The sequence below is a fragment of the Homo sapiens genome, chromosome 7 (assembly GCF_000001405.40).
Source record: "Homo sapiens chromosome 7, GRCh38.p14 Primary Assembly".
NCBI lineage: Eukaryota > Metazoa > Chordata > Mammalia > Primates > Hominidae > Homo > Homo sapiens.
In genome coordinates, this window is record NC_000007.14 from 68490224 (window position 1) to 68513324 (window position 23101).

General features: G+C 43.7%; 2 annotated features.

Annotated features, from left to right (window-relative positions):
* Positions 19029-20228: an enhancer, noted in NCBI's record as "P300/CBP strongly-dependent group 1 enhancer chr7:67974239-67975438 (GRCh37/hg19 assembly coordinates)". NCBI's record gives its function as "activates an origin of replication core promoter dependent on BRD2, BRD4, P300/CBP, MED14 and CDK7 cofactors, with strong dependence on P300/CBP, by STARR-seq in HCT116 cells {active_cell/tissue: HCT116}" and the evidence as "EXISTENCE:reporter gene assay evidence [ECO:0000049][PMID:35650434]".
* Positions 20756-21256: an enhancer, noted in NCBI's record as "H3K4me1 hESC enhancer chr7:67975966-67976466 (GRCh37/hg19 assembly coordinates)". NCBI's record gives its function as "activates a minimal SCP1, AML or CMV promoter by ChIP-STARR-seq in naive H9 embryonic stem cells {active_cell/tissue: H9 hESC(naive)}" and the evidence as "EXISTENCE:reporter gene assay evidence [ECO:0000049][PMID:30033119]".

The window sequence follows — 23101 nt, forward strand, 5'->3', positions numbered from 1 at the left end:
GAGACTCTATCTCTTAAAAAAGGGGTAGGGGAGGTTGCAGAGGAAGGAAGGTTGGGCCTGGGAGGTGGTGGAGGCCACAGAGGAAGCCTACACAGCTGGACCATAACTTGGGGATAGGAGTGTCTCCATCTGTCCAGGAGTTCTTGCCTGTCTTTATGCCTCTTCTATTTTTCATTGCTTCGCTTTTGCTCTTCCTTAATATTTGGTCAGTTTCTTTGTTTACTTCTAACACTTCAGCCTTTCTCGTCCATGCTAAGGAAAACGAGAGAAAGTTGTTTGTGTCCCCACACACATATGCATACTAATTTATTAAAAGAGATGTGGCCAGGCACGGTGGCTCACACCTGTAATCCCAGCACTTTGGGAGGCCGAGGTGGGTGGATCACGAGGTCAGGAGATCAAGACTATCCTGGCCAACATGGTGAAACCCTGTCTCTAATAAAAATACAAAAATCAACTTGACATAGCGGCACATGCTTGTAGTCCCAGCTACTTGGGAGGCTGAGGCAGGAGAATTGCTTGAACCCCGGAGGCAGAGGTTGCAGTGAGCCGAGACCACTGCACTCCAGTCTGGCGACAGAACTAGACTTCAAGATGAATCTTGGGGGACAGAGCTATATGCTGAGCTATTATTCCCTTTCTTGAGATTTTCCTTCAAGTGCTAAAGACTTGAAGATGCTGGCTTTCTTTCAAATTAAAGAGGGCAATGCTTGTATAAGGAGTCGCTAAAAATAATAAGGAGTTTTCAAGGAGCCTCAAGGTAACAGGAGGCAAGATGAAGAAAATCGATCTCAAAGAGTCAACATTATTTCTAACTCAGCCCACCAGCACCAACTGCAAAGATATGAGTACAAGCCAGAAGGCATGCTCCTTCCAACAGCTGCAAAGCAGAGATGGTCATCAGGATGGGGAGGGCCACACAGCAGAGGCCCTTTGGCGAACATTACTTGGGACTAACAAGCACAGGAAAAAGTGGAGAACAATTTTGCAGGAGCCGAGAAGCCAAGTCTCAGCCAACAGTTTCCTTGTCCCCAGGGGGCATCTGTTTCCACAGCAACTACAACCTGGGGAGACTGCTGCCTTCAGACTGTCCCAGGAAAATATTTAGTCTGCACTATCAATTCTGGATGGCCAGAAAGAGCACTGAATACAAGATGCAAAACTCACTGGGGCTTAGGGAGGTTGAACAAATTGGTTCTGTTGTTAGAGGCAGCTGTCAGCACCAAACCTGAACTCTTCCCCTGACTCCTGCTGATTCCTGCCAGCTTCTATCACCACTGAACCTGGTGCCTCATCCCAGCAACCTCCACCTGATGACAACAATGATGATGACAAAAGTAATAATGATCATGACAGCAATGACAAAGATGATGATGACAGTAATGATGATGATGATCATGATGAAGATGATAATGAAGACAAAAGTGATGATTATAATGACAACAATGACAGGATAATGATGACAGTGATGATATGGTAATGATGAAGATGATAATGGTGACAATGATGATGATGATAGTAATGATGACAAAGATGATGACAATGATGAAGATGCTGACAATAATAATAATGACAAAGATGATGATGACAAAAGTGATAATGTTGATGACAATAAAACAGGATGATGACAGTGATGATGATAGCAATGATGATAATGATGACAATGATGATGATGATGACAATGATGATGATGTTGATGACAGTGATGATGACAAAGATGACAATGAAAAAGATGATGATGACTGTGATGATAATTATAACAATGATGACAATGACAAAGATGATGACAATGATAATGATGATGATGATAATGATGACTGATGATGACAACAGCGACAATAATGATGCTAATGATGATGACAATACTGATCATGACAACAATGACAATGATAATCATGGGAATAGCGATGATAATGACAATAGTGACAATGATAATAATGATGACAACAGTGACAATGATGTTAACAATGAGGGCAATGACAATGATGATGATGACAATGAAAATGATGATGATAATAATGATGACAAGGACAATTTTCTAATAGTGATGATGACAACAATGACCATGATGACAGCAATGACAATGACAATGATGATAATGATGATGACAATGATGATGACAATGACAATGATGATAATGATGACAACAATGACAATGATGACAATGAGAATGATTATGACAATCATGATGATAATAATGATAATGACAATGATGATGACAATGACAATGAGTATAATGATAATTATGATGACAACAATGACAATGATGACAATGACGATGATGGTGACAATGACAATGATGACAATGATGATGACAATGACAATGATGATGATGACAGTGATGAGGATGAAAGTACCAGTAATCATGACAGAACTGGACATTGATTGCTAAGTGTTTCACATGCCTTTTCTTATTTTGCTTCACAAAAGTCCTTTGAAATTGATGCTATTCTTGACCCATTTTACTGATAGAGAAACAGAAGGTGAGAGATTAAGTAACCTATCCAGAGGCACAAAGCCAGCAAGAAGGACCTGATACCCAGCTTTGTGTAACATCAAAGCCATTTCTTTCAGGAACAGTGTAGCTTAAAAGATCAAATTCTGCAACAGACTGCCTTGATTCAATCCTAGTTCAACCCTTACCAGTCATGTGACCTGCACTTAATATCTCTGTGCCTAAACATCATCATCTATAAAACAGGAATAGCAATAGTAGCTCTCCCAACTTGTTTTTTTGAGAATTAAGAGTTAATACATGTAAAACAGTGTTTTTCATAGTTGTATGTGCATATGAATTACCTGGGATCTTGTTAAAATGCTATTTCTTGCCCAGTGCAGTGGCTCACACCTGTAATCCCAGCACTTCAGGAGGTCAAGGCAGAAGAATCACTTGAGGCCAGGAGTTCAAGACCATCCTGGGTAACATATTTCTACAATAAATAAAACCACAAAAATTAGCCAGGTGTCGTGGCAGGTTCCTGTAGTCCCAGCTACTTGGAAGGTTGAGGCAGGAGGATCACTTGAGCCCAGGAGGCAGAGGTTGCGATGAGCTATGATGATGCCACTGCACTCCAGCCTGGTCAACAGAGTACAACTCTGTCTCAAAGAAAAATGCAGTTTCCAGTTTGGTAGGACTGGGTGAAGCCTGAGAGTCTGCATTTCTGATGAGCTCCCAGTTGCTGCTGGTGCTGCAGGTCTACAGACCATACTCTAGTTAGCAAAGCTGTGAATCACTTGGAATGGTGCATGACAAGCAATAGATAAGTGATCACTGTTACAAAGACTATTGTTATTTTAGCCTCCCCTAACCATATCCCTGGGCCAGACCACATGATGTTGCCTAAAGGGCTGTATCCTGGCAGCCATCTCACTTCCTGAGATCTGCTGCTGACAAGAACCTGGACGTTTGTATTTCTCTCCCTGATCTTCCTCTTCCCATCCTGCTTTCCCCTAGGGTGGACCCCTCTAATTACTGTTGGCCTTGGATGAACTGAAGTTGCTGATACTGCAAGGGATGGAAGAGACTCTGCCGGCCATCCTCTCTGGGTCTCTGGGTTCATTCTCCATCCCCTGTGCAGTTCCATCCTGTTTGCACACTTGGACCATAATAGCTGTAAAAGCCTCAAAGGCAGAAATCCAGGAAAAATATCACATCTCAAATCTCTTTTAGAAACAAGTCAATCTGAGGTGGACGGATCAAGAGGTCAGAAGTTCGAGACCAGCCTGTCCAACATGGTGCAACCCCATCTCTACTAAAAATACAAAAATTAGCCAGACATGGTGATGGGTGCCTGTAATCCCAGCTACTCAGGAGGCTGAGGCAGGAGAATTGCTTGAAACTAGAAGGCGGAGGTTGCAGTGAGCCAAGATCATGCCACTGCACTCCAGCCTGGGCAACGAGAGTGAAACTTCAGCAACAAGAGTGAAATCTCAGCCTCTCAAAGTGCTCAGATTACAAGCATGAACCACCGTGCCCAGCCAATTTTTATTTATTTATTTATTTATTTTGAGATGGAATCTTGCTCTGTTGCCCAGACTGGAGTGCAGTGGTGCTATTTCGGCTCACTGCAACCTCTGCCTCGCAGGTTCAAGTGATTCTCCTGCCTCAGCCTCCTGAGTAGCTGGGATTACAGGTGCATGGCACCGCGCCTGGTTAATTTTCGTATTTTTTTAGTAAGACAGGGTTTTGCCGTGTTGTGCTCAGCCATGACTGTGCCAATCTCATAAATTAGCAATACAAAGATGGAAAGAAGCCCCTCTACAGACACAATGCATGTGAAAGAAACAGATTCAGGCCACAATGTGGCGAATGGTTTACCCGTCTAGGTGCTGATTGCAAATAGAAAGAAATGTTGACAGGTTCCTTTCTTTGCTATACTGCTATACTGCCAGTAAGCTCAGAAAACACACATGCACACACACACATCAAATTCATTTACCTTTATAGTCAGCAAAACTTTTTTCCTTTCCTTTTTGGACGTACATTCTCTTTATATCTTTATTTTAATAACTTTAGTGTGGATTTACTCTTTTTTTTTTTGAGACGGAGTCTCACTGTCACCCAGGCTGGAGTGCAGTGGCGCAATCTCGGCTTCAAGCAATTCTCCTGCCTCAGCCTCCTGAGCAGCTGGGATTACAGGTGCCCACTACCACACCTGGCTAATTTTTTTGTATTTTTAGTAGAGATGGGGTTTCACCATGTTGGTCAGGCTGGTCTCAAACTCCTTGTGATCTGGTTGCCTTGGCCTCCCAAAGTGCTGGGATTACAGGCTTGAGCCACCGTGCCCAGCTGATTTATTCTATTTTTATACTGACACCTCACTTGTACAAAATTAGATATCATAATTTCAGCTCATGACACACTGATCATTGATCCTTACATGCTATAGCATTCCCTTCTTTTTTGTTTGTTTCTATATTAATTAATTTATTTTCAACAATGTAATACGTATCTATGAGCGCACTTCCAAACCAAAAACTAGGTCCATGACAACTTATATAGTACATTTATTCTCTACTTCAAAACATCTGCAAGAATGTATAATTTTTTTCTGAGTAAAATTAACAAGCTGTTATTCTGAACATTTTTAAATTTTCAAAATACAGGATAGCATAAAGAGAAAAATATTAACTGTAACCCGTTCCCTCATTTTCACTCACTTAATCATCAGCAGTTAATATTCTATTCTGGCATCTCTACATTTAAATATTTTTCTATAGTTTTAAGTTACAACATATGGAAATTTTCACATTCTAGTTTTCTTCTATTGGTCATTAAACATGCTACTTAAATATTTCACTTAACATTATATTTTAAATTCCTTCTTATTTTTGACAATGAACATTATATACTGTATTTGGATAATACCATAAATGATTTAGTATTTGACTTCTTGTTAGACATTTAAGCTGTGTTTTTGCAGGGGGAGGTGGGTAGGGGATATATGACAAATAACATTACCAAATAATATTTTATATGTATCATTTCATTTTTCATTCAGTTTTCTGAATATATATGTGTTTCCAGTTTGTAAGGGAACGAATGTCAGAGTCAAAGAATATTCACATTTTAAATTTGTTGTGGCACATTGCCAAATTGTTTTCCAGAAGGATCACACCAATTAGTACTGACCTTGGTAAGAAGAGTCTTCACTCTACTCTCACACTTTTTGGGCCCATCTCTGACTTTCCTGGGTCCATGACACTTCTTATGGGCCAAGATGACAGCCCACTGGGACCCCATGACCCCTGGCCTTCTAGGTCATGGTCCAAGTGCCTGGGGTCCAGGAAGTGCCTGCCTTGGGGTAGTATGGCCGCTTCCAGAGTTTCTTCATTTCTTTTCGGGGCCATCTTCTCAAGGACAGAGCTCAACTGCAATGTGCATACACCCTCTAGGCCTGTTGGTGGAGTTAGTGGACACTTCAAAAGATCTTGTGCAGTTGGGGTATCCACACCACATTCACAAAGCCCCTCATTGTGGCAGTGGATCTGGGGTTCAGAAGAGGAGCAGCAGCCCAGGAACCAGAAGCCTGGAGCCTGGGCTCTCTTTCTCCATACCATCAAGTTCTATCAGAGAATTCCTGGGAATCAAAGTTTTTATGGAGATGTATTTGTCCAGGTAGGAAGATTAAAAATATTTACGTTTGCTGGCTTTGTTTAAAACTTTTTTGTTTAAAGAGATGGGATCTTGCTATGTTGCCCAGGCTGGTCTCAAACTTCTGACCTGAAGCCATCCTCCTGTCTTGTCCTCCCAAAGAGCTGGGATTATAAGCATGAGCCACCACACCTGGCCTCTTTAGAACTTTTAGATATTTAGACATATGGTATGAGGGCCTTGGGTTGTACTCTTGTCCTTGGCCCTGGGTTGTACTCTTGTCCTTGGCCCTGAGCTTGTTGTGGGAGGAACTGATACCCATTTCCATTGTCACCAACACCTTTGAGTGTGCCTGCTCACCAACATGATAGATTATGATTATCCTTTGCTGATTTGGTGAGTGAAAAACTACCTCATGTTTGTTTCGATCTGCACTTTTAAAATATCTGGCCAATTTTTTTTTTAAACAGGATTTTGCTCTGTCACCTAGGCTGGAGTGCAGTGGCGTAATCATAGCTTACTGCAGCCTCCTGGGCTCAAGTGATCCTCCCATCTCAGCCTCCCAAGTAGCTGGGACTACAGGTACCTGCCACCACGCCGGGCTAACTGTATTTTGTAGAGATAAGGGTCTTAAACTCCTGGGCTCAAGTGATCCTCCTGCCTTGGCCTCCCAAAGTGCTGGAATTACAGGCATGAACCACCACACCTGGTCCATATTTATCTTTTGCTAATGGTTAATGTTCTTGGTTTATCTACTGGGCCTCATAATTTTTCTTACGAGTTTGTAAGGCTATCTCTGTTTTAAGGATAGAAATCCATATGCATGTAACATCAAACTCAAAGCTAGTATATGGTATGTGTGCAATCTCTACCCTCAGGAAAAACTGGCTTATGTCTAGCAGGGAAGAATATGAGGCCAGCCAGTGAGGAGTGAGTGCAATATGAGAGCTCTAGGGACCCCGTTTAATTACAGTCATCAAGTACATTACTAGCGCAATGAGAAATTCAGAACCATCCCAAATCAGGAAGATGAGCACAGCAAAGAGAAAACCAAAGAAGGGCATTTGGAGAAAGTTCTGAGAGTCCAGGCCATCCCTTGTGGCTTGATTTGCCATTTACAAATTCCTGGACTGGTAAGGACCAGATTCACATATGATCCTGCTATCAGGCATGTATTGGTAGTCAATAAATGCATGAAGAAATGCATTATTGAACCAACCCAGAGTCTAACTGACCTGAGTATCCCAGAGTCAACCCTTCCCTAAAATCATCTCCAGTCAACAAAGGGTCTGATATGGTTTAGCTCTGTCCCCACCCAAATCTCATCTTGAATTGTAATAATCCCCATGTGTCAAGGGTGGGGTCAGGTGGAGAAAACTGAATCGTGTGGGCAGTTTCCCCCATACTGTTCTCATGGTAGCAAATAAGTCTCATGAAATCTGATGGTTTTATAAATGAGAGTTCCCCTGCACATGCCTTCTTGCCTGCTGTCATGTAAGACGTCCCTTTGCTCTTTCTTCATCTTCTGCCATGATCATGAGGCCTCCCCAGCCATGTGGAACTGAGTCCATTAAACCCCTTTGCTTTGTAAATTAGCCAGTCTTGGGTATGTCTTTATTAGCAGCATGAGAATGGACTAATGCAAAGTCGATCTAATTAAACCACAAATATCCAAGTCACTACTTCAGGGTCCTTCATTTCTATTTTCTTCTTCAAACATCCAAGCAGAATCTCTGCATATCATTTGGATAGTTGGCCAGTAAATGCTTCAATTATAAGTTGAAAGAAATAAAATAAAATCATCTGGTGGAATGGTTTTAATTAGAATTTAGTGAGTTGGGCAAGCAATTAGCGCATCTAAGAATGGAGGCTACATACGCATATTTGTCTCCGTTGAGCTTCACTGATTTAAATGAGCATTTGACTCAGATTTCTCAAGTTAAACAAAGGCCATCATAATGACAATAACAAGAAGAATGTAGCCTGAGCTAATAGAAAAATTGCAAAAGCTATCACTCTTTGTCCTCCCAGCTCTCAGTGGATGGATTTTATGGCAGTACCACCGCCTCCATTTTAGCCAAGGCTTGAAATTCTCAAGATGATCAGGAATATTAATTAATTTTAAATTTTCACATAGAAAGAGGGGACAATGAAGGAAGAGGAACTATCATGTTTGAGCAATGCTGTATGCCAAGTACGCTACAAGAAATTTATGTACATCATCTCTCTACTACTTTGTACCAGCCTGTGTGGAGGCTGCCATAACAGATGCAATTAAAAAACAAACTGCCAAGTACAGTGGCTCATGCCTGAATTCCAACACTTTGGGAAGCCTAGGTGGACAGACCACTTCAGTCCAGGAGTTTGAGACCAGCCTGGGCAACATAGTGAGACCCCATCTCTACAAAAAATTGTTAAAAATTGGCCAGGTATGGTGGCCTGTTCCTGTGGTCCCAGCTACTTGGGAAGCTGAGGTAGGAGGATCGCTTGAGCCCCGGAGGTGGAAGTTGCAGTGAGCTATGGTGGTGCCACTGCACTCCAGCCTGGGGCACAGAGAGAGGAGGACCCTGTTTCCAAAACAAGCAAACTAACTAAGGTCCACAAAAGCAAAGTCATTTCTAACCTTGAATGGCCAGTAAGGGAAGAACCCTGTTTAGTTGGAACCCAAGGTTCTTGCTCTTTTTAAGAAATTTAGAATCCCAGCCGGGTGTGGTGGCTCACGTCTGTAATCCCAGCACTTTGGGAGGCCAAGGCGAGCGGATCGCCTGAGGTTGGGAGTTCGAGACCAGCCTGACCACCATGGAGAAACCCCGTCTCTAGTAAAAATACAAAAAAATTAGCCAGGTGTGGTGGCACATACTTGCAACCCCAGCTACTCTGGAGGCTGAGGTAGGAGAATCACTTGAACCCAGGAGGTGGACGTTGTGGTGAGTCGAGATCACACCATTGCACTCCAGCACCTGGGCAACAAGAGTGAAACTCCATCAAGAGAAAGAAAGAAAGAAAGAAAGAAAGAAAGAAAGAAAGAAAGAAAGAAAGAAAGGAAGGAAGGAAGGAAGGAAGGAAGGAAGGAAGGAAGGAAGGAAGGAAGGAAGGAAGGAAGGAAGGAAAGAAATTTAGAATCCCTTAAACTTAAGAGATGTATTTAATCTCCCCAAAGAGACAATCGAATTGCTCTTGGAACAGGCTGATTGTTACATCTCCAGTGTGATCTCACTTTCCAACTGAGAGGTTGAGAGCTGCAGGAGCTGAGAGCGATGCTGCTTCTTCCACAGGCCAAGAAGGTGTCACACTGTCACTTCTCAATTTTGGCTGCACAATGAAATCACTAGGGAGCTTTAAAAAAATACAGATGCCAGGCTCCCAGCCAGAGAGGTTCTGTTTTCATGGGGATGGGGCACAACCTGGAATAGGCATTTTTTTTTTTAACTTCTCAGGTTATTCTAACATGCAGCCAAGGTTAAGGACCACAGAGCCCCATGCACAGTGTGCATTGAGAGAAGGTTATGGGAGTCCCACTTAAGAGTGAAAATGTCACTTCCCTGAGCTTTGCAAGGCTGTGCCCATGATCTTTCCCTAAGCGCTATTCCAGTCCTGGACCTGGCAGAGAGTCACCAATAGCAAAGTGAAAGACCCTAGGTGGGGATCCTGGCTCTGTCTCTTACTGGCATTATGATCTTGGCCAAGTAAGTTAATCTGAATCATAGTTGTCTATCTATAAAATAAAGATAAGGGTTGGGCGCGGTGGCTCACACCTGTAATGCCAGCACTTTGGGAAGCCGAGGTGGGCAGATCACAAGGTCAGGAGATCGAGACCATCCTGGCCAACATGGTGAAACCCCGTCTCGACTAAAACTACAAAAATTAGCTGAGTATGGTGGTGCACGCCTGTAGTCCCAGCTACTCAGGAGGCTGAGGCAGGAGAATCTCTTGAACCCGGGAAGCAGAGGTTGCAGTGAGCCAAGATCACACCACTGCACTCTAGCTTGGGTGACAGAGAGAGACTCCATGTCAAAAAAAAGAAAAGAAAAAAAAGAAGATAAGGGGCTGGGCATGGTGGCTCATGCCTGTACTCCCAGAACTTTGAGAGGCTGAGGCAGGAGGGTTGCTTGAAGCCAGGAGTTCAAGACTAGCCTGGGCAACAAAGCAAGACCTTGTTTCTACAAAATAAATAACTAAATATTTTTAAAATTTAAAATAAAAGAAAAATGAATACAAGGAGAAGTACCTGACTACCATTTTGGATTAGGGTGAAGATTTAAAATAAATGCTTCCCCGCCATGCCTAGCAAATGATATTTGCCAGTAACTGATAATTACTTGCTTAAACTATGTGACCCTTGAAGGCAGAGACCATACACATTTGAACCTCTCTATACATAGCATCTGGAGTATAGTACAGGCTTAGTTTGTGCAGTAATTGACACTACTATCCCTGAATTTTCCTATACCAAGAGCTACTTCATGAATGGGATTTATGCTTTTTACCTCTTTTTTTTTTTTTTTTTTTTTTTTTTTTTTTGAGACGCAGTCTTGCTCTGTTGCTCAGGCTGGAGTGCAGTGGCATGATGTCATGATCTTGGCTCACTGCAATCTCTGCCTCCTGGGTTCAGGTGATTCCCCTGCCTCAGCCTCCCAAGTAGCTGGGACTACAGGCATGCGCCACCACGACCAGCTAATTTTTTGTATTTTAGTGGAGATGGGGTTTCACCATGTTGGCCAGGATGGTCTTGATCTCTTGACCTCGTGATCCACCCACCTCGGCCTCCCAAAGTGCTGGGATTACAGGCGTGAGCCACCACGCCCGGCCTAGTTTTTACCTTTTAAATGCACTAAGTATCATTATCTCTCACTAACACCTTGGTCCAGTGTTTTTAGTTGTTGTTGTTATTGTTAATAGATGCCCCAGAAAAGTAAAGCAAATAGGTTTTGGGATATATTGTATGCTAGAGTCTCCCTTCTGCACAGTCACAAGGCATACAATGTACTTAATCCTTTAAAAACTTTCCACAATGATACAAATCTGTTTAACACTGCCACATTCCAAAATATATTATTGCAAAGTGTATTTGATGGGACACTTCTGAGTATCTGTACTAGTCGGGGTTCCCCAGAGAGACAGAACCAATGGGATATACAGAGAGATATATCAGAGTGGATTTATTAGAGGAATTGGCTTATGTAATTAGAGAGGCTGAGAAGTTCCATGATAGACTGTCAGCAAGATCAAGACCCAGGGAAACTGGTATTGAGGCTCAGTCCACATCTGAAGCCATCAGAATCAGAGGCCTGAGAACTCGGGATGGGGGAGTATCTGTTGCAAGTCCTTGAGTCCAAAGGCTGGAGAATTTTGGGTTCCGATGCCCAAGGGCAGGAGTAGAAAGGCAGCTCAGCTCCAGAAGAGAAAAAGTCAGTTCCCCTTTCCTCTCCCGTTCTGTTTTATCCAGAACCTCAGCCAACTGGATGGTATCTGTCCAGGTTGAAGGTGGATCTTCTTTACTCAGCCGACTGATTTGAAGGCCAATCTCTTCCAGAAACACCCTCAAAGATATGCCTAGAAATAATGCCTTACCCATTATCTGCATATCCCTTAATCCAGGCAAGTTGACACCTAAAATGAACCATTGCAGTATCTAATGAAACATTTTTTGGGATTCTATCTGGGAAAACTCATCCTAATTTAAGCCTTGCAGTAAAAAAAAAAAAAAAAAAAAAAAAAAAAAAAATTGCTAGGCTGTGGGCAGTGGCTCATGCCTGTCATCCCAGAACTTCGGGAGGCCACTGTGGGCAGATTGCCTGAAGTCAAGAGTTTGAGACGAGCCTGGCCAATGTGGCGAAATCCTGTCTCTACTAAAAATACAAAAAATAGCCAGGTGTCATGGTGCACAACTGTAATCCCAGCTACTCGAGAGGCTGAGGCAGGAGAATCGCTTGAACCCAGGAGGCAGAGGTTGTGGTGAGCCGAGATCGCGCCACTGCACTCCAGCCTGGGTGACAGAGCAAGACTCCGTCTCAAGAAAAAACATTTTGTGAGAAAGAGACTAGCAAAATGACCACAAGGGCAAGATCTTCCATGGCACCTACCATTTAGGCAAGTTCGGCGAGCAGCTTTTAAGTTGAGACATTCAATTTTATCAGTTTACCCACAGGATAGCCTTTTCTGGGCAGCAGATTCACAAATACTAAAAGCAAAAGACATTATCTGCCATAGCAGAATGGAATTTTGTTAAGGTGCAAAGCTGATTTTGATTTCTGATTAAATTAATCAAGTTCTCCTAGCTTCAGAAACCTCATCTGAGAAATGAGAATACTACAGTGACTCTATGAGCTAGATCTTATTTTAGAAACTAGCAAAGCCATTGACTGGTGTTTTTCACTAAATATTTCTCACTCTCTGCCTTCTTGCCACAATGTAGGATTGTTGTGTTGTGGCTCTCTTTGGAGCAGGAAAGATAGCTCTCTTTGTTTTATTTTATTTTTTAAAATTTATTGTTGTTATTATTTGAGATGGAGTCTCATTCCGTTGCCCAGGCTGGAGAGCAATGGCTCAATCTCGGCTCACTGCAATATCCACCTCCCAGGTTCAAGCAGTTCCCCTGCCTCAGCCTCCTGAGTAGCTGGGATTAGAGGCACCCACCACCACGTCCAGCTAATTTTTTATATTTTGGTAGAGATGGGGTTTCACCATGTTGGCCAGGCTGGTCTCAGACTCTTGACCTCAGGTGATCTGCCCACCTCGACCTCCCTAAGTGCTGGGATTACAGGCATGAGCCACCACACCTGGTGATAGTTCTTTCTCAAATGACAAGCACCATTCAAGATCTAGTCCTCCTGGTCATTTCACTAGGCTCTTTCCTCTGAATATTATTTACTCCACAATTAAAGCATAGAATCATGTGACTGTTGTGTATGGAACTGAGACTATGTCACCTTTAGGTTAGGGTACTTTATTGCTACCGTGGTCTCTCCAGAGCTATCTATCTATCATAGAGCCACCGGTGACTTTGAGATGGAAAATGTTCCACTAACCTGGGGTTTGCAATAAACAGAGGTCACCTGCTAACCTGAAATAAACATGTAATGTGAGCAAGACAGAAACTTGCATTGTTAAAGTCACTGGGCTTTGCAAGTTGCCTGTTACTGCAGCACAACTTAGCTTAACCTGTCTTATTCAATAATCAAATGAGATAGCACAGAGCAAATGTCATCACAGTTCCTAGCTCCCAATAGGCGAGAAGAAGGAAATAGTCTGCACTTGTTGGCATTCTTATTATAACTGTGACGTCATGCCACAGTTTAGAATGCCAATGAATGCAGCTTACTCCCCTCTCTTCTCTGTAGACTGCCCATGGAATTCCCTAGTCCCAAGGCCTTGCCCATCCTTTATCCTTCAGGGAGGTCTGCTACTTTTTCACGCTTCATCTTGAATTTGCAGATGCTGCACAAATGTGATTCTGGGCTTTGTTTCTGATGAACTCTACTTCCTGCATGGGACAGCTTCACCCAAGTGGGATGGGACCTGGTCAAGTGCCCAGATCCTCCTAGCGTGTTGCACCTCACCCTTCTGCTGCATTTAACTACACTAAGCCTGAGAAAGATGAGCAAATTGATCAATAAATGTTATTTATTCCCTTTCTAAAGTGGGGACTGGGGCACACTCACTAGTTGACTCATATCATACATTTGAACACAGAGCACTCCATCCTGGTAAGCAAGTGCACTCAGGAAAATAAATACACAGCAGAAAGTATGTTCATGGCTTTAGGATAAAACTAGTTGGGGTAGTTGATATTTAGGAGGTTTGCTTGTTTGGGTTTTCTTTGTTCTTTCCCTCTTTTTTAATGCACAATAGACTTTGCATTAGTCTGTTTACACACTGCTATAAAGACATACCTGAGACTAGATAATTTAGAAACAAAAGAGGTTTAATTGATTCACAGTTCCTCCTGGCTGGGAGGCCTCAGGAAACTTACAATCATGGTGGAAGGGGAAGCAGGCACGTCTTACATGGTGGCAGGTAAGAGAGAGAGAGAAGAAGAAGGAACTGCTAAACACTTATAAAACCATCAGATCTTGTGAGAACTCACTCACTATCACAAGAACAGCATGGGGGAAACCGCCACCATGATCCAATCACCTGCCACCAGGTCCCTCCCTTGACACATGCAGATTACAATTCAAGAGGAGATTTGGGTGGGGACCCAGGGCCAAACTGTATCAGACTCCTAGAAAATGGTTGAGAAACGGAATTGAATTGCATACCTTGGGCATCAGTTAATCACATTGTTTTTAAGAATAAAGTAAAAAGGAACACAAGGCAGATGGCAAAGACTCCAGTTGCAGAGAGGATCCTTGACTCCTGACACTACCCTTCCGCCCCTAACCTAACCCTCCCTTTCTTCCTGTCTTCCATTTTTAAATAGCTCTGGATTTAGCACTTTGTCCCATTTTCCATACGCAGCTGCATTTTTACCTCTGACTTGGGATGGCAGCCCAGCCCTTATCTGCATGAGCTTATAAACACTAACTGAACATGTTTCTCATTAACATGCACTTGAGAGTCTCCCAGGAAGATGAGCTCAAGCTCAGCTGAGGTGGGTTTAGCAGCACTGTTGGCTCCTGTGTGCAGGCACTTGGCCTGAATGTTTTTTCTACTGGGGGGTGAAAGCAAACTTTGTTTTCTTAGCACAAAGCACAGACTGCTTCTGCAGGAGCTGAGGCTGCCAGGCCTGGTTCTCAGCCTTCCTGTCTTTCTCTCCCTGCTGGGAGCTCAGACACTCCCCTGAAGATTCAGCCCACCTGCAGTTACTTCTCTAGCATCAGGGAAGACCAAGGAGCAGAGAGGCTGCAGGCACCATGGCTTTTAGGATGTGAGTCAGGTTCTGCTTTCAAGCCCCCAACAAATGAGCTTTTGTAGAATAACCCAGCCTCACCCCGTGCCTCAGCTTCTATTCTAGAAATGGGATCTAAACCTCATTCTGTGCCCCAAACGCTGACCAAGGGGGCTTCCCAGCACCAGACATTGTGCCCTACTCTGCTCTACTTAAGCCCTCCCAGGGACCTGAACTGACATCACACATCACAGTTAAGAATGACGATCAATGCCTGTAATCCCAGCACTTTGGGAGGCCAAGGGGGCGGATCACCAGGTCAGGAGATCGAGACCATCCTAGCTAACACAGTGAAATCCTGTCTCTACTAAAAATACAAAACTTATCCAGGCATGGTGGTGGGCACCTGTAGTCCCAGCTACTCGGGAGACTGAGGCAGGAGAATGGCTTGAACCCAGGAGGCGGAGGTTGCAGTGAGCCGAGATTGCTCCACTGCACTCCAGCCTGGGCAACACAGTGAGACTCTGTCTCAAAAAATAAACGAGAATGACAATCAAGTCTGATTACTCCCCTCTCCTCTCTGTAGACTGCCATCAATTTCCCTAGTCCCAAGGCCAAGGCCTTGTCCATCCTTTGTCTTTCAGGGAAGTCTGCGGTATTTTTCATGTCTCATCTCAAATTTGCAGATGCCGCACAAATGTGATTCTGGGCTTTTTCTCATGAACTCTGCTTCCTACTTGAGTCAGCTTCACCCAAGTAGAATGGGACCTGGTCCAGTGCCCAACTCCTCCAAGGCTGCTGCGCCTCACCCCTTTGCTGTGTTTAACTACACTAAGCCTAGGAAAGATGGGCAAATTGATTTAAAGTTAAAAAGGTAAATAACAAAGAAAAATATCGTCAGCCCTTCATATTCATGGGTTTTGTATTGGTAAATTCAACTAACAAAGAATTGAAAATATTCAGAAAAAAATGGATTGTTGTGTCTGTTCTAAATATGTTCAGACTTACTTTCTTGTCATAATTCCCTAAACAGTATAGTATAACAACTATCTGCATAACATTTACACTGTATTAGGGCATTATAAGTAATCTGGGGGCTATTTAAAGTATACAGAGGGATATGTCGTGATTATATGCAAATACTGCACTATTTTATGTAAGGAAGTTGAGCATCAGTGGATTTTGGTATCTACAAAATCCACGGATTTGGTACCAATCCCTCATGGATACTGAGGGGTGATTTGATAGTGCAGAGTGTAATAGCTCGTTTTTATGTGTCAACTTGGATGCCCAGATAGCTGGGAAGTGCTTCTGCTGGGGGTGTCTATGAGGGATTTTTTAGAAGGGATTAGCATTTGAATCTATAGACTGAGTAAAAATGATCCACCCTCACCAATGTAGGTGGGCATCATTCAAGACTTTGAGGCCTCAAATAGAACAAAAAATCAGAGGAAGGAGGAATTCACATTTCTCTGTTTGGGCTGGTATATCCATCTTCTTTTTCCCTCGGACTTCAGTGCTCCTGGTTTTCTGGGCTTTGGACTCAGATTGAATTATGCCAGCAACTTCCCTACTTCTCCAGCTTGTAGACAGCAGACTCTGGGACTTCCTGGGCTCTATGATTTTATGAGCCAAATCCTATTATAGATAGATATCTATTATAGATAGATAGGTAGGTAGGTAGATAGATAGATAGATAGATAGATAGATAGATAGAAGATAGATAATAGGTAGATAGATGGATGATAGATAGATAGTAGATAGATAGATGATAGATAGATAGTAGATAGATGATAGATAGATGGATGATAGTAGATAGATAGATATACAGGTAGTAGATAGACAGATAGATGATAGACAGTAGATAGATAGGTAGTAGATAGATAGATAGATAAATGATAGACAGATAGTAGATAGATAGACAGATAGATGGATAGATAGGTTGACATATGTATGCTGTTCTATTTCTCTGGAGAACACTGACTCATACACATAGATAGGGTAAAATCATAAAGACTATCCTCAAAGAAACTAAATGTAGAAAACAGTGTCTCATGGGATGATGTAATCTAAATGTCTCGTGCACTGAGATGATGCACTTTTCTCTCTTCTTCTGTCCAATGGGGCTAAGATCACCTGTCTGGTGAGGCTGTTGGAAAGGTCAGAAAAAGGCATGTAGAGCACCAACCCAGTGCCCGCTATACAAACTTGTTCTAGTGTTATTGCGGTTGCATATCCCTTAATTAAGCCATGTGTATTTCCTACTGATGCCAAAGCCACAAGAGAGACGCTCTTCACTGGAGACCCTGCTCAGACTGTCATGTGGTTCAATGATCCCACAAAGGAGGCAGAGTCCACAGAAATCCCTAGAGATATGTATCTCCTCCAAGGCCTGACCCAGCCATTCCACCTTTTCTAAACACTATTTAGCTCTAATGCCCTACAAGAGTCCAAAAAGAAATCATCTCAAATAGGATAAAGGATTCTTGAGGCAGGTCATTCTGCAAACTTTTCTTATAAAGTCAAAGCTCCTGGCAGCCAGGTGTACCCTCCGCCTTCAAATGTGATTATCTCTGGGCTTAGCCAGATGAGGATGCAAAGTGCAGAAACCTTGCACGGCATTTATATAACCCTGGTCGATTCTGCAGCAATCATTGTCTGAGTTAGCTAATGCCAGGGTACAAGGACTTCCCACTGAGATTCCATTACCTTGTAATTTTCAGCTTGTTCACTGTTGCAGTAAAGCCCCTCTGTCTTATAATTCCCCAGCATTCACATCTCATCTTCTCAAGAACTGAAGTATGTAAGATGCTTTCTGCTGGGGATTCATTGAGATAAGTTATTGAAGTCAAGCAGAGAGGCAGGCTTCCAGCACTCGGCTATTCATCTCAAAATTTATGTTCATGCTTTCTTTTGAAGGTCTAACATATCACAAACAATGTACTTTCTATATGATTAAAAATTCATAAGTTTCCTAGACAATGAAGGTGGAGGAGTGAAGAACCCTCACACTTGGGTCTCATTAGCAAGGGGAGGCTTGGAACAGCTAACTTGTTTTTGATGTAATTTTTGTGGGACTGAGATGCCACAGTCATTCACAGCCTTTCAGCAGGGAGGAGAAATGCTGTCTACACAGACTCATTAACCTGCCCCCAGAGTTGAGCTGCGTGATCTGCTAGAGGGTCCTTTTCTTTCTAGAAAATTTCTGCTCCCTCCTTTATCTTGTTCTTTGGGCTCTAAATTATGTCCCTTTTCTCCTCTCTGTATACACAGATACCGCCCTAGTGCTCAGCCTGCACACGGTCATCTCATTTGTCTCCCTGCCCATGGTGACCCCTTGCCATTCAACTCAGCTCATCATCACCCTTCTGATCACCCCAGAACAGCATTCTTAAAGCTGCCCTCTGCAGGAGGCTCCTCTCTGCCTTCCCATTGAAAAGGAGAAAATCAAATCCAAATTTCTCATGGTGGGATTGAAATACAATCATTTCTGCCTCCCTTGGAATTCATCAGCATAGGTTGTGAGAGCTGTCACTGGGGGTTTCCAGAGAGACTCTGGGAGGGGAGCAGGGTGTGTGTTGCAAGGAGCTTTGGGCTGATGTCTCTCAATCTGCTGCTCTTCTCCAGCTGGGCAGCCTCCCACCAAAAGGATGAGTTAAGGGAGTAGAGGCTCTAAAGTACAAATTAGAGGGCACTCCTCCTATTGAGAGGTGGGGGACATGCCTCACATTTTGAATCTAGGAGGGTTTTCAATTGCTTTGGATACTAGTAGACGGGAAAGTCACCTTCTGTGTCTTTTAGTGCTTCTGACTAGCTCTTAGAACTCTAAGGCTTCATATAAGGAATCTGACCACAAGGAGGCCACCATGCTATAAGGAAGCCCAAGCCATGTGAAGAGGCCATGTGTGGGTGCCCACCATGTCATAAGGAAGTTTAAGCCACACATAGAAGTCATGTGTGGGTGCTTACACATGGCCATGTGAAGAGGTCAGTTTTCTTGAGCTTACTTCATGCCATAAGGAAGCTCAAGCTATGTAGAGAGGCCACATGTGGGTGTCCACCATGCTATAAGGAAACCCAAGCCATGTGGAGAAGCCATGTGTGGGTCATGTCATAAGGAAGTTCAAGCCACGTGGAGAGGACACATGTTGGTACCCACCATGTCGTCAGGAAGCCCAAGCCACATGAAGAGGCCATGTGTAGGTGCCCACCATGCTGTAAGGAAGCCCGAGCAATGTGGAGAAGCCATGTGGGGGTGTCCACCATACTGTAAGGAAGCCCAAGCCATGTAGAGGAGCCATATGTAGGTGCTCTGGTAGACATTCTGAGAGGGGGCCGACCTCTGAGTCATTCTATAACAGACACCAGATTTGTGAGTATAGAATCCCCCAGACTGTTCCAGCCCCAGCCACTGGAGTCACTCTCAACCATGTGAAACCCCATCTGTGGTCCCAGACAGGATAGAGCAGAGACAAACCATCTTCACTGTTTCTGTCTAAATTTTCTGCCCCATGGGGAAATTTGGTCAGAAACCATCTTCACTGTTTCTGTTCAAATTTCTGCCCCACCATGCTGTAAGGAAGCCCAAGCCACGTGGAGAGGCCATGTGTGGGTGCTCACCATGCTGTAAGGTAGCCCAGGCCACGTGGAGAGGCCATGTGTGGGTGCCCAGCATGCTGTAAGGTAGCCCAGGCCACATGGAGCGGCCATGTGTGGGTGCTCACCATGCTGTAAGGTAGCCCAGGCCATGTGGAGAGGCCATGTGTGGATACTCACCATACATAAAAAAACCCAAGCCACGTGGAAAGGCCATGTGTGGGCGCTCTGGTTGACTTTCTGAGAAGAGGCCAACCTCTGAGTCATTCTACATCAGGCCCCAGATTTGTGAGTGTAGAATCCTCCAGATCTTCCCAGCCCCAGCCATCAGAGTCACCCTCAGCCATTTGAAACCTCCCATCTGTGGTCCCAGACATTATGGAGTAGAGACAAACCATCTTCACTGTTTCTCTCCAAATCTCTGCCCCATCGAGTCTGTAAACATAACAAAAGACTGTTATTTTAGGCCACTGAAATGGGAGTGGTTAGCGATGCAGTAGTAGTTAATTGGAATGGAGGGAGATGGTGAAGCTCCACCCTCCGTCATTCTCCAAGCAAGTTCTCCATGCACATTCTGGGTGCCTGAAAATGCACTGTCTTGCCCAAGGATCCAATGGGAGGAAAGCGCTGATATCTTATTGCTCAGATTATTTTATTATTTGGCAGGGCATGTGAAGCCATGAGACTCAGGGCAGACAAATTTTGAAGAGGGTTTGGGTAGAGGGAGAGGTTGTAGCACAGAGCAATTTCATAGGCAGCAGGGTTTATCTGGAGCACTGTGGTGGAGCCCCTGGAAGCTGATATTGCAGTAGAAGGGCTGGGCATGAGCTGTAGATACAGAAGGAGAAAGCAGGCAGGGAGCACACCACAGAGCCAAGGTCAATATCATCACCCTAATACACCTGACTCTGCTAGAGCCCTGAGTATAAAATATCCAGATCTTCTAGAAATTCTGATTTCAACTCAGTTCTATTCACATAACAAGTACCCAGGATCTATTACACAGGAGGCCAGGTGTAGGAAGAAGGTATACAAATGACGACGTTGCAACCTCAAGTCTGGAGAAGTTATTCTCCATCCTGGGTACATTGTCCTTCTGGAAAATCATGAAGCTATTCAGAATTATATTAAAGGTCTTTTCAGAGGCCAGGCGCTGTGGCTCAAGCCCCTAATCCCAGCACTTTGGGAAGCTGAGAAAGGAAAATCACCTGAGGTCAGGAATTCGATATCAGCCTGGCCAACATGGCGAAAACCCATCTCTAGAAAAAATAAAAATTTGCTGGGTGAGGTGATAGTGCCTGTAATCCCAGACACTTCAGAGGCTAAGGCAGGAGAATTGCTTGACCCTGGAGGTGGAGGTTGCAGTGAGCTGAGATCACTGCACTCGAGTCTGGACGACAAAGCAAAAATCCACCTAAACAACAACAAAAAAGTCTCTCCAGAAATTGCAGCCACAGGAAGGCCAATTCATATCCGGCTGCCAGTTAGTGGGGTCTCCTGCTTTGAAGGGAAGGGGTAGACTTTATTCTCCCTTTCTATCATTCTTAGACGATCGCTGATGGGCTCTGAGCATAAATGCGGTCTTCAGAAGGGAGCCTGAGCAGCACCCTGAGGCTGATCCCACCGCCTTGCCAGCTGGCTGCAAAGGAAAGCCAGGGAAAGCCTCATTAAGCCACACAAAGCCAGCCTAAGAAGCGACAAAGTGGACTGCAGCTGCCTCGCCTGTCTGCTGCAGCTGATTGCCTGTGATCTCCATCATCCTGCAGCAGGCATGCCTGCTGACACAGCCTGTTGTGTCGGAGACCTGATTACTGCAAATCCCATTTCCACCTCGCAGATTCCTCGGAAATTGCAGACGTGTCTGTCTGTGGCCAGCCTGCCTGGAAAGGTCACTGCAGCAGTGAGTGTGCCTCACTGCCATTTCTCTCATTCACACACATACAAACTGTAAATACCAAGGTCAAAAACAGTCACAGTCCTTTAAAGTGATGCTGCTGAAGGCTGGGCCCCATGCAGAGGCCGAGGAGGCTTCCTTCTCACACAGCAGTGCCTGGCACGTATCCCCAGAGATTCTAACAAAATTGATCTAGTGAGAGTCCCTGTATTGTATGGTGTGGGCTGTATTTTTCAAAGATCCCTAGTTGTGAAAATGTGTAGTATAGTTGAGAAAATATGTAGTATGGTTGAGAAATGCTACCAAGAGAAGTGGGGCTAATATTAGTTGAACACCTGCTATGTATCATATAAATTAATACAAATTTTCTCATTTCATCTGTAAAGCAATTATTAACAAGATATCCCCTTTTGTGAGAAGTAAGAAAAATACAGGTTAGAGAAGTTGACCGAAATTTGCTCATCACAAATTGGGTGATGTGTGATGAGCTAAAATGGACATTACGATGGCTAAAATTACAATGACTAAAATTTAAAAAGACTGGCGAGGACGGGCATGGTGGCTCACGCCTGTAATCCCAGCACTTTGGGAGGCTGAAGTGGACAGATCATGAGGTAGGGAGTTTGAGATGAGCCCATCTCAAACCCCATCTCTACTAAAAATGCAAAAAATTAGCCGGGCATGGTGGTTCATGCCTATAATCCTAGCTACTGGGGAGGCCGAGGCAGGAGAATTGCTTGAACCCAGGAGGCAGAGGTTGCTGGCAATACCCAATACCAAATATTGGTGAGGAAGGAAAGCAACTGGAACTTTCAGTCTTGCTGATGGGCTTGCAAAATGGTACAGTCATTCTGGAAAACATTTGGCCATTTCTTAGAGAGTTAAACATACAGTTATTATATGAACCAGACTTCCATTTCTGGGTATGGACCCAAAAGAAATGAAAACATAAGTATAAACAAAGACTGTACTTGAACATTCACAGCAGTTTTATAGCATGAAACCAACCCAAATATTCATTAACAAGTGAATGAATGAACCAATTGTGCTGTATGCATCCGGTAGAATGTGATTCAGGAACAAAAAAGAACAGAGTACTGGTGCATGCACAACGTGGGTGAATTTTAAAAACATACGTCGAGTGAAAAAACAAAGCCAGAAACAAAAAAAAAGCGAGTTTATTTACATCAAGTTCAAGAAGAGGCAGATTTGTCTATGGTGATAGAAAGAAGGTCAGGGGTTGGGTATCGAGGCGTGGGGTGATTGAGGAGGGTCACAAATTGTGGTGGTTACAAATGTTATCTATTTTTCAAAACTCATCAAACTGTATTCTTTTTATTCATTTATTTGAGACAAGGTCTTGCTCTGTTACCTAGGTTGGAGTGTAGTGGCACGATCATAGCTCACTGCAACCTGCAACTCCTGGGATCAGCAATCCTCTCGCCTCAGCCTCCTGAGTAGCTGGGACTACAGGCAAGCACCACCATGCCTAGCTGATTTTTTATTTTTTGTAGAGATGGATTCTCACTATGTGGACCAGGTTGGTTTTGAACTCCTGGCCTCAAGAAATCCCCTGTCTTGGCCTCCGAAAATGTTGGGATTACAGGCATGAGCCACTGCACCTGGCCAAAACTGTATTCTTAAGATAGGTGTATTTATTGTTTGTAAAGTGTATCTCAATAAAGTT